Source organism: Homo sapiens, chromosome 1 (genome assembly GCF_000001405.40).
Source record: "Homo sapiens chromosome 1, GRCh38.p14 Primary Assembly".
Taxonomy (NCBI): domain Eukaryota; kingdom Metazoa; phylum Chordata; class Mammalia; order Primates; family Hominidae; genus Homo; species Homo sapiens.
Genome location: NC_000001.11, coordinates 218,328,954 through 218,341,930, shown reverse-complemented (window position 1 = coordinate 218,341,930; position 12,977 = coordinate 218,328,954). Strand labels below are relative to the sequence as shown.

General features: G+C 34.1%; 1 protein-coding gene and 1 pseudogene across 2 annotated transcripts in view; both read right to left on the bottom strand.

Annotated features, from left to right (window-relative positions):
- Nucleotides 3,100-3,385, bottom strand: RPS26P17 (ribosomal protein S26 pseudogene 17; annotated as a pseudogene).
- RRP15 (ribosomal RNA processing 15 homolog) overlaps nt 3,948-12,977 on the bottom strand; it is a 52,691-nt gene continuing 43,661 nt past the window's right edge. For both annotated transcript variants that reach the window (XM_047421798.1, NM_016052.4), the window contains exon 5: nt 3,948-10,983. In XM_047421798.1, coding sequence (XP_047277754.1) covers nt 10,840-10,983 — 144 coding nt within the window. In that variant the 3' untranslated portion in view covers nt 3,948-10,839. The remainder of the gene's footprint in view (nt 10,984-12,977) is intronic.

Sequence of the window (12,977 nt, the reverse complement as noted above, 5' to 3'; positions counted from 1 at the left end):
CATGTTCTAGATGCATTTCTATAAACAGCTTTATTTCATTATTCTAGTTATGAATAATGAAACAGAAAGGTGGTTTCCTTACAAAAAATAATCCGATTATTATTTCCATTTGTATTTAAAGGTTAATCTAAGGAAGAAGTGTTAAGGAAAAATGAGGAAACAATGGGCGGGGAGGAAAATGGAAACAGGGTGGGTTTAAAGAGATCAGAGGTGGTAAAAGATAAAGAGATAGGACCAAGAAAAACCACAGCATATCAGCAGGTTGTGAGGCTTTAAAGAGATAAACTCATCACACTAATGATACACTGTGGGAACATTATCTCACCCTTTGGAATTATGATTAGTTGATTGATTACTGCTTGTGGCTTTTGGGCCACTCATAACTCTACAATTTTAGCTCTCCAGGAAAGTCTTTCTTTGGGAGGCAGTCTCACAGTGGCCTGTGCTATGTCATCCCTGTAGCTGCAGCCTCTGGTTTCTTGCCCCTGGTGAAATTCACCCACTAAGATAGCATTTAGTAACTGATATAAATAAATGAACATATGGTAATAGTTGGGACACAGCATAACGCTATGGATAAGTGCTTAACAAAATCCTAATGTTGACAAAAAGAAACCAGCAGCAGAATTTTCCTTATTTTTTAGGGCAGTACTTGACACTCACCTTTACAGAATCTCTACTCCTCCTTCATTTACTCTGTCACCACAGAAGTTCACAGATAGACTTCACAAAGCAAGAAACCAGAATGAGGTTGCTGGGGAGAAATGGAGAGAGTGTTTTGGCCAACTAAAAATAAACACAAAAGATGAGAAAGAAAAAGAGAAGGTGAGTGATAGAGAAAAATATGACTGTGTTCTCATAATTAAAATGAGTATAATATAACAAAAGTTTTTTTTTTTTTTTTAAAGATACATGGTCTTTAAATGAATTTATGTGTCTGTCATCATCTCAGTGGGCTTCATAGATTGGGTAAAATTCCAAATGTCTAAATTTCCACTGCCAAAATTACCAACCTACATTTCAAACAAATATGCCGTTCTGCTGCCTCGATTAGCCTGCAATTAAAAAAAAAATAAATAAATAAAAACCAAGGGTCAATAGTAATTGCATAAAAAAAGAAAACCTCAGTGTAGTTTATGATAGAGGGAAAAATTAGTAAATAAGTATTTTTAAAAGCCTAAGTATGTAAGTATTTTGAAAAGCACAGCTATATAGATGGTTATAATTTATAAAACGGGAGACTACAGACCACAAACTCTCACTGATGATTATTTGAAATCTTAGTAGAAAATAAAGTTCTCATAACTAGGGTAGCTACATCATTTGTCACACAAATCCAAACATTTTTTGCAGTAAAGAGGATGCCACTCATTGATACACTAAGACAACAGGGGTAAATCAGGACTCTCCCAGATAATTACCTTATTTAAAATGAAGCCACTTTAAATCTGTAAGAATACATCTGTTAGTCTTTCACCTTTTTTCGGTTACAGTGGTGATATTATATTTTGCATACTTCCAAGACCTTTTTTTTCCTTTGCCTATGCAGCATATTCTAAAAATCACCATCAGAGATACATTTTGAAAATGCTACTTGCACAATTTTAGCATTAATATAAACCTGCACTGCCACAAAAATGAACCCCCGAGAGGTGCTTGGTCAAGTTCTTTTGAGCTCCATGAAAGCAGTCTCCCACAGAGAAAGGTAGGAGAAGATAAATACAACAATAATGGGATTAACAAGCATTTTATGTATTCTTTGTATAGCCAGAGAAATTCATTTTTAAATTTTTGAAAATCAACAACAGAAAAAGAATCCCAAAGGTAAAAACGAGTTTGGCCCCCCTTCCCATTTTAGTGCCAGTACAGAAAAAAAAAGAACAGTGTTTCTGTTTGTTGTTTGATGCTTGCAGGTCACATAATAATGACTTTTCACATGTTGATCCTTCTTGTTTAGCACACAGTAACTGCTTCATAAAACCAGGGACACCAGGAAAGTTACTTTCACATAATTGAAGGGGCTGTTTCCTGTTAACGTGAAAATTTTTGTGATCAAGAATCCTACCATTTGTGGTTTCTCTTTAGATTTGTTACATCTATATGAGTCCTTTTAAGTAAAAAGGCAGTATCATTACTGTTCCAAGCAAATAGCACTATCTACCATAAGAAATAAATATATGCCAAAGAAATAAATCCAGAAATGGGTGTGTCATTGTGACCTGAAGAGACAAATAATTTTGCCTGCTGGGTTATTGGAGGTAACAAGTTTTTTGTATCTGTTTCTTTAAGAGGACTTTGTCTTACAATTTTAAGTTACTTAAGATCATTAAACAATAGACTATTATAAGGTCAATCTGGTTATTTAACCAGTTGTAACAATTAAATCTAATCAATGTCACACTTATACTGATTGTTCAGAAACTACATACTCGTGTGCTTGTAGGGAAAAAGGATTTTTATCAGTTGACTCAATGATAGCTGAAATCATGCCACCTAGAGGAAAGCTGTGGTATGTCTTAAAACTTCATACTGTTAAATTCATTAATGTATAATTTTGCATTGATTTGTTGTTACTGCACATCAAATAAAAATTAGTTTCACATAAATATTGTAAAACATGCATTTTTAGAAAAGATGCTAGATCAACAGCAATGGGATATCCTTAATTATCAAGTTTTAGTTACCTGTTATCTCCTAGGCAATAACATGATAAAAATCTAATCCTCATTTATAAAGCATAATTTGAATATCTAAATTCTTAATAGCAAAAATGTCAACCACTTACATTTATGAGTCATCTAATGTCATTAAGTAACAGAGCAGCAAATAGCCAATATATTGTATCTTAGGAATAAAAAACCAATAGCTGTATATAGTAAATTATTGGATACCACTTCAGTAGAGTAGTTCCATTTCTGCAGCATCCAGATAATTCAAATATAAAGTTTTAATTATCAGACATGCTCAGGCAAGACCTATAATGAATTATCCAGTAGCAAGTTACAGAATAAACTGACAACAACAGCCTGGGGTGATATGTTAACTCTAAATTGACACAGCCAGGAAAATTTTCACCTTCTGATTAACGGCATCTATTAATTTTTTTTAAGTACTATTTCCATTTTACTTTTCTCCAGAGGATAGTTTTGCTTCAGTCCTTAAAGACTCAGCTCCTTACATGAGCTTTGGTGCCAGCATCTGCAGGTCTAAATAGAAGTGGAGATGTTCAGTTCTTGCAGGCTTCCTGCTGTGAATGGCACAACTCACACAATAATGTAGCTTCACATACAGCTCGGGAAGCACATATGCATTGAAGACACTTGCTGCAGCCTCTACTGTGTTTTGAATAAAGAAATTCTTAATAGCCCTGTCCTTGGGCACACATGTGGCTGCCACCCTTTTTGGCATGATCATTGTTCCTTTTGTCACCTTGGAAGTGAGGACCCGAAAGAGCATGGCATCTACTACTACCTTCCATTGGCCATAGGTTTACGTCATGGTTAAATGAGACCAAAATACTGAATGCCCATTTTTCTTTCCAGAGAAGAGTTCAATTTCTAGAATCTAATTTTCTATAAGACATTAATATCTACAATGTGAGCAATCACTATTGTGTATAGCAGCTCTGTAACTCAAACCTGGATTGGACTATACTATCTGTGTGGCCTTGGGCAGGTTACTGAAACTTACTGCTTGTTTCCTCATCTGTATAATGGGGACAATAACAACATCTACCTAACAGGGTTATAAGGAAAAGGGTATGAATTAAGGGGCATTATGAAACCCTTAAATATTGTCTGGCATAAAATCAATATTGTTTAAATGTTTGCTATTATTATTACATGTTCTGTTCCAACTTTTACTTGAATAAGTGATAGAACTATGCAAAATAGGATGGTTAAAAACAAAATAGCAATGGCTTTTTTTAAAAATCAAGAAAACAGAGGTTCTCACTTAAAAATAAAGTTTTATTAATCAAAAGGCACAAGGAAACAGTGGACACATGGAAAGGGAGTCAAATTTTTTATGTTCAACATTCATTGCAGGGTAATTAGCAAAACTTAAAAGATAAAGTAGGATTCTAGCAAACAGGACTCTTCATACAGTCATCTAATACAGCTAATATCAATAATGCTCTATTAAACAGTATGTAGAGTTTGGATTCTAGAACAGAATAAGTAAGCAAAAAATAAAAACTGTTTTAGTGTCTCATTAAATGTCAGGATCATTTTTCTCAATATAAATATAAGGCCTGTCTTTTCAGACTGTCAAAAATTACATTCTTTAAAAAAAAGTCTTATTCTATTCACCTCATGCATTGTTGGCATTTAAGAAACTTATACTATCCATAATGTTTTTAATCTTACTTTTTCAGTTAACATATCATTGACACTGTGTTTTCATCAGTCTTCACAACCATCATTTTAAAAGGAATTGACAGAAGACTGGTGGTTCGATAGTTTATGTAAATGTCCTCATATCACTGAACTTGTAAGTTTTAAAAAATTTCTTGCTATTAAAAACAATTCTATATAATACTGTTCACACAGCATTTTCTGTCATCAGAATCTTTTCCTGAGGAAGGTTTCCAGAAGTAGAATTGCTGGGCCTCAATAAGCACCTACCACCTGTTAGACTTTAAATTTTTGTTGGGGGGAATTCTATCTAGAAAAGGAAGACTCAGAATTACATAGATGAGAAATGAATGGAAACCTATAGGTGCAGCACCTAATCCTCCAAATGCATAAGAGAGAACATCTCTTGACACGCTACTACATAACAGGCACTGTGCTAGATAGACACTGCATACATTAATCCAATCTTTACACCCTGAACTATATATTATTGTATCTGATTTACATGCTAGCCTTACAAAGGTTAAGAAACTTACACAAGGAAACAAAACTAGTAGGACTCAAAACTGAACTCTGAACTCAGTTGTGATTCCAAAATTATGCTGTCTCTCATCTAACAACGAACACTGGTATTTCTTAAAATGTCCAGTGTAAATATAACTTTACTGGTTATTAAGGAGTATATTTGGGAATCCTAGTAAGGACCAAGATACGGCAGTCATGTCTCATGCAATCTACCCTGGTGTTCCTGGCATTTGTAGAGAAGGATATCATCACATTGAACCTTTTGGACTTTGAGCTTTTATATTTATAATATACTTAAGAGAACCCAGTGTTGCTGTACAAAGACAAATATTATTGTGTAGAAACAGTCTTGATGTTATGCTTGGTACTTCTCAGTATTTCAGGGCAACTGCTGAGTCTGGCTGCTGCACTGTTTTCAGAGCTGATGTCAATCTATTGTTTATGTCCTGTCCATGGGAGGGATACATTTTTACCTAAGATTGAAGTCTGGTTCTGCAAATGCAAAGAGGCAACTGTCTGGTAGCCTGAGGGTGAATCAACAGCTGCAAGGCCACCCACGCATAGGGACACAGCTCTCAGCTGTCTCTCCATTTAGAGCCCCAGTTGGTCCTGACCTCTTACAAATTTGGTGTTTTCACTTTGATGTTTATGAACCGATTGCATTAAAAATGCAGGATAATGATTCAGGGTTAGAGAAACTATTATTTATACAAATGTGGTTAACACCTCATCATTTTAAATTGGCTGTGCTAATAATGCTCATTGTGCTCTTCAGGGTTTTGTGTGTGTGTGTGTGTGTGTTTTGCCTGAATCTGCAACCTACATTTGCTCTGGCAGTATGTTGAGTATATGCTAGAATAGAATGGACCTAGGCAACTCTAAGGTCCTACAACTAAATACACTTACTTAGGAAACCTCCTAAATAAGTAGGCCTCTAGATATAAGTGAAAAACATGGGAATTCACTCCTTACATGGTGGTATCTGTTGCTCCGGCAGTTCTCAAAATGTCCTTTTGGTGCATCATAAACCCATTCTTTTAGAGAACAACAAAAATATTTAAGGTTTGGTGCATTAATTCTGAAAGCCTCAGATGATAAATAATGCTAAAAAACCAAATGCTATTTGTTATTAACTAAGTGGCTTAACATTTAAGGACAATGGTTACCCTACAATACAAGTTAATTATAAAGAAACATATCTTTTTAAAAATATAAATACTGAAAAAAAAGTCAACAATAATTCAATCAATAAAATTTCACCAGTATTTGTATATGCCTAAATTATATCAATAAAAGTTTATGGAAAAAGCTTAAGACAGATTTACAATTCCCAAATTCACTGTTGTTTCATTAGACTAGATAGATGCTCTGTAGCTTTATTCTCTTCATAGTTGGGATAGACCCACTAGCCACGTGTAACTTTTAAAATTTAAAGTAATTAAGTAAAATTAAAAATTTAGTTCCTCTGTATCACAAGCCACACGTGAAATGCTCAGTAGTCACCTCTGCGAGTGGCTACCATATTGAACAGCACAGACATAAATTATTTCCATCATCAAAAAAAGTCCTATTGACAGCAATGATTTAGACTTTTAGTCCCTATAATTTTAATATAAAGTATTATGCCCACTCTTCTAACATATATCCTTGCTTGCCTTACTCAGTTGAAAACCAAAGAGTGTTTAACAGAAAGCTGAATATGTGCTCCTCCCACTGAAGGAGAGGGCAAAAAGGAGGGAGAAGAAAGGTGAGCAATGTTGGAACAGGTATTTTAAGAAAGCAAATTTAAATTTAAAAGGTTTACCGCATCTCTAGGTAAAAAGTCCTAAATACTAACTCCCTGAAATTATGTTCAGTAGACTAGGTAAAAAATATTAATATTGCTCTCTAAGCTAGAAAACACTCTAAATTTAGAGAATCTAAAATTATTTAAGAACTGTTAGAATATATCTTCCATCTATATAATTATGATTATTCATTCTAACTTAGCATTTTATTAAAACATTAATCACAATTCTAAATGTCTTGTCAACCACCTCAAACATTCTACTTCTAAATCTATTCACAGATTCCCTTGACTAATATGTTTAATCAAATTTCAGAAAAGCTCGCCCACTGAAAAAATTTACCAGGACTACCAGTGCTGCAACAGTCAGTAAGATTCAAATACCCAGCTGGCCAAAATTCAGACTCCTGTTTTCTTGGGGAAGGAGTGAGAGAGCTTTTTATAGGCACGAAGTAGTTCTCTCTCCTGTTTCCAAAATTTGCTCTCACTGCCAATTCACCTCAAATAGTCTTCATACCCATAATATCTACAGGGCTTATAGCGTCTATACCATATCAGTGACATGCAGAGTGGAGATAAATGTCAATCACATTGATCCTAATAGATGAATTTGAGGGAAGAACAGAATGAATTCTGCTTTGGTCAACTGGAAAAAATGTTTCCAAATAAAAACAAAGTTAACATTATCAATAAAGTATTGACAAATTATAATATTCACAGCTCTACATAAACTTCATCAGTCAACTTTCCTTGAAGTTAAATTCCTTCAAGTTAGCACATTAATGGAGACATAGAAGGAAATGGGAGGAAAACATAAGAGGTTTCCCAGAATTTATACGTCCCTTTCTTCACCCATCTGTTTTAAAAGGCAAAAAATATTTTATTTTAAAGAAATTGGATTGCCTTCAAATAGACCTTTGAGAACCTCCTACTGAGTGACTTTAGGCTCTAAGTACTAGTGGTAACCCTCTGAACTGTTCTATCCAAAGGGTTTCCAAGGTATATTTTGCAATCAATTGAATAATGTTTGAGCAATGCAGAATTCTAGGTAATTTGAAAATAAATTCAGTGCTCCAACTCCATTATAAAAAGTGCTAAACTACTAAGATAATTCTATTTTCAGTCCTAATCAGGTATTATCATTGGCTTTCAAATTCTGATGCTTAAAAATAACAACCAATGCTAAACTATGATAAATACTAAGAACATCAACCCCAGCCATCCAAGTATCTAGAATATTCTATATATGAAATAAGGAAATAAGATAATTATTTCTATATATGAAATAAGGAAATAATACTTCCAAATTATTGGTTCCTATTTTCCATAGTTCTTTCTAACCGAAGATAAGTAACCTACTATATTATTCTAAGTAGTTACCAAAAATAAAATCCTAGGTGTTATGTTTAAATAAATGGGGAGGCAGGAATTGCAGTTTTCTTTCCCCTCGTTAAAAAATTCAAAGACAGGTGGTATGGTGGCTCACACCTGTAATCCAAGCACTTTGGGAGGCAAGAGGCGGGGGGATCCCTTGAGCTCAGGAGTTCACAACCAGCCTGGGCAACATGGGGTAACCCCATCTACATCAAAAAGACAAAAAATTAGCTGGGCATGGTGGTGCACACCTGTAGTCCTAGCTACTTGGGAGGCTGAGGTGGGAGGATAGCTGGAACCTGGGAGGTGGAGGTTGCAGTGAGCTGAGATTGCACCACTGCACTCCAGCCTGGGTGACAGTGTGAGACCGTCTCAAAAACAAACAAACAAAAACCACAAAGACAATGTAGAAAGATGAAATACACTCGGATTATTTATCTGATTGATATCAGAATAATTTAAATGTTGTAGGTAAAATATTTAGAATAGGGGTGACAGAACTACTCAAAACATTCACTTAAGATACACAATTAGTTTCTAAAATATGCACATTCCTGGTTTCATATTTATACATATGGTATTTTGCTTAATACCCAAGATGCAAAAATACGAATACATAGAAGATATCAAATCTATATGATAAAAATTGTCATATAATTTATATATACTTCATAGCCTTCTAACAGAAGTGATACATTTTTTTTTTCCTGATAGTGGCAACTCAATTTTTCTTTGGAATAAAATAATTTTGGAACGAAGGAAATCTGCAAATATTCTCGTCCTTACTTTCAATGTGAAGATCTTGTCAAATTTTTTCAAATCAAATGAGGGACTATAAAATATGTTTCAAAACATTTTAGTAAATAAGGTATTTATCCGTATCTATCATGTGAATGTACTATTCAGAAAAATTCCTGCAAAACTCTAGTATAACGCAGAAACACATTAAATTAAATTAAGTGTAATCTTAGTTCTGGGGAGAAAAATGTGTTTAAGTTGCTGCACTTTTTTTTTTTTTTTTTCAAAATTGTGTGTTTGTTAAGTCATATTGAAATATGTATCTGTATTAAGTTATAGCAGGATATTTAGTTCTCCTGTATTACTACTGAGGTATATTTGTTCACATTTATTTATACTGAAAGACACTAATGTTCAAAAGTTAGAATAAATACAAAAATGCATCTTGTACTTTGCTGTTTTAACCACTTGATACCTTAGGTGTACATCTTCCTTTATGATAACAAATACCAGGCCACAGACTGATTCAGCTTTAGTCATATAATACTGTAACACTCAAATGGGTTTCAAAATATAAACATCTCTGCTCTTGGATAGTTTTTTTGGGGGGGATTATCCTTCAATACATAACAGATGCAAGTATGTGCAACTGGGTGGTAGGAGGGAATTATTTTTATTATGAAAAGGGATGGATCCTTTTCAAAAAGGGACAGATCATATTTATTAAAAATAATTCCCTTAAAAACTTTAGATCTTGGGCCACATTTCACAAAAATTTTGGAATGATATTAAACAGTCTTTCCTCTTTTTAACAGCTGGATACTAAAAGTCACCCAATTTAATAGCCTTTAAGGCAATAATATGGAATCAAGTCTCAAATTGGATGCAATATTCTGCTGCAGATTACTTGTTGTCTAAGTGCATCAATTCACTGGTTGGGCAGTCCATAAAAAAGAATTTAAGCTAACTCAAATATTTGGGAGGAAAAAAAAGAAGAGAGAGACTAAAGCATGTCAAACTTGCTTCCTGAGAAATTGTCTCATTGCATAAGTTAAGCATGAGAATTTCCACCTCTGTAAATCTCTCATGCAAAAATAGGCTAACACCTAAAATAAATCTGTCATTATTTATATTATTTAATAAATGAAAGGAAATAAAATAAAAGTTGAAATCTGGGCCGGGCGCAGTGGCTCACGCCTGTAATCCCAGCACTTTGGGAGGCCGAGGCGGGTGGATCACGAGGTCAGGAGATTGAGACCATCCTGGCTAACATGGTGAAACCCCGTCTCTACTAAAAATACAAAAACAAAAAATTAGCTGGGCGTGGTGGCAGGCACCTGTAGTCCCAGCTACTTGAGAGGTTGAGGTGGGAGAATGGCGTGAACCTGGGAGGCGGTGCTTGCAGTGAGCCGAGATCACGCCACTGCATTCCATCCGGGGCCACAGAGCAAGACTCCGTCTCAAAAAAAAAAAAAAAAAAAAAAAAAAAAAAAAAAAAAAAGTTGAAATCTGTTGTTTCTTAAATCATATCTTCCAGATTACCTAAAACTAAAATCACGACCCAAAATCTGAAAAACTATAATTTTAAATTTTATTATATAGGTTTTCTCAATAACTTCCCAACACAAAGCAAAAAACACCAACCATTCCCAAAAACTACAGATACATAGTTGAGTCTATAAGTTAGAAGGCAGAAAAATATTAACTTCAAAGAGTTTAATGATGAATTAGTACTGTATTTCTGAAAACATTGGTGATACTGAAATAATACACCAATAGACATGACCAATATGATCCTGGCAAAATGCACATCTCGCTGGTCAAGCAGAAATATATCCTTTTACAAATGTTCTGAGGAACAATGCTTAAAATTATACAAGGGTTTAAAATATAATTTTAATGAAGTATATATAAAGTGTACATGAAAAGGGGAAATATGAAATCTGGCAAAAGTCTTTTGGCTTTCTTACAAATGGTATCCTTATAATTCCCCAACTATCAGAGGATGACATATTTTTCTAGAAAAAATAAAACGACTGCAATTGTATTTCCTATGATGCTTTATGTATCAGAGTCACTTGCAGATTCTGGTCTGCTGTCATCTGGCCCATCACTTTCCTTGTCCCAGTCTTTCATAGATGCTCCCATCATGAAATCATCACGTAGGATCGTCCAACCTGGGCCTTCTTCTGATTTCACTTCAGTCTAAGGAAAATTATAGAATCAAAATATTCAAAAGTCAATTCCATCATAAGGAAACAAAAAGGTACAAGCTACAAAACAAACTTTTCAATGCTTAGTTTTTAAAATAGGGGTAAAACCAAGAGAAATTATAAATCGACTTACTTTATACACTATGATTATACTATGATTATATATGTACAAATGTATAATAAAGAACTAAACATTAATAAAATATTGTATGGACTCCATAAAAGAAACATGAAAGCAAAATAAAAAAATTTTTTTGAAGTGAGGGAAAAAATATAAATCTAGGTTTGGTATTAATTTTTTAAGCACTTCTGACAACAAAAAACAGACTTACAATACTATTTAACCTTCAGTGATAATTTACTAGAAAATTTTGGGCAAATTATTTCACCGCAACTGACAATTTAACAAAGGCATTTAACCCAAAGTAAATTAAAAGTGGGAAAAAGAAACTACATTGGTACTATGCTAGGTTTTTTAAGATGCCATCTCACTTAATGTTTTTATAAAAATTTGAACCAAATGTTCTTTATTTAGGTTATGAGCTCACTGCCTGACCCAATCATGTAATCAAAGACTAATCGTATGTTGAAATTATAAATAAATGAAGCAGGCAATAAACATAATAGGTAGTCAATTCGTTTCATTTAGTCACAGGATTTATGTGGTACTAATTACAGCCTTTCATTTCATGGTACAACAGTACCACCTTGTGGTATCAATTAAGTAATACAATAGATGCAGCACTCAAAATTTTTCATTCCTTCCACAAATATTTATTGAGAATTAGCTGTGTATCAAGCACTATGTTAGAAACATAGTGATGAACAAAACGAAGTTCCTGTTTTCAGGGGGCTAACAGTCTATGCATATCTATTTATGTCAATCACAGAAATACAAAATTTTGTAAAAACCTAAGGTACAAGAACCCATGACATTTGGTTAGAAAACAGTGTTATCATTATGCTGTCATTAACTACATAAAAACAGTTTAAAATATAATATATATTAAAGATATTTGCTGGGTTACAAGAGATTACTTACCTAACTGCTATAGCTTCCCTTTATTTAAAAAAAGATAGCCCTGAAACATTCATTCCATTTAAAAAAAAAAAAATTGACCACTATTACAAGCAAATAGGAAAACTGTCCTATTGGCTCACTCTTGTCTTCTTGAGGTCAAAATATCAAGCAGAGCTTGTGCTTAAATATAACTTGAAGACTGAATGGGATATAAATGTAAGCAAAGATTTCAGAACTGACTTCGTATATCAAACATCAGCACACTTTTTACTATAATTTACCCAACATACAGAAATAAATAAAAAACATCTGTGCTATTTAAAAACCAACATAAAACAGTTCCAATGCTTCTCACGTCACACTGATAGGAGAACAATAACGTAGGAAGATAACTGGAGTATATTAACAACTTTTCATTTATTTCTACAATATCAAACCTACTCTTAAAACTGAAATTCTACTTCTATTAGATTGTTAGCTAGCTGGATAAAAGGCCATTTTCCCTGATTTTCACTCTGTCACCCAGGCTGGAGTGCAGTGGCGTTATCATGGCTCACAGAAGCCTCGACCTCCCAGGCTCAAGTGATCCTCCCACCTCAGCCTCCAGAGTAGCTGGGACTACAGGTGCACACCATCATGCCTGGCTAATTTTTTTTTTTTTTTTTTTTTTTTTTTTTTTTTGTAGAGACAGGGTTTTGCCATGTGGTCCAGGCTGGTTTCGAGCTCCTGGGCTCAAGCAATCCACCTGCCTTGGCTTCCCAAAGTGCTGGGATTATAGGCAAGAGCCACCACACCCAGCCAACCCAGGTTTTCTTTAAATAAAAAACTGATGTTCACAGTGAACAAAAATCCACTTAGAACCAACAATTATAACACCTCTCCTGTCAAAGTAAGAATTCAAAGCTTTCAATTAAATTCGGAAAAGTGTATAGCCATATCAAAATTGCTGACTAGCAAAGACCTAT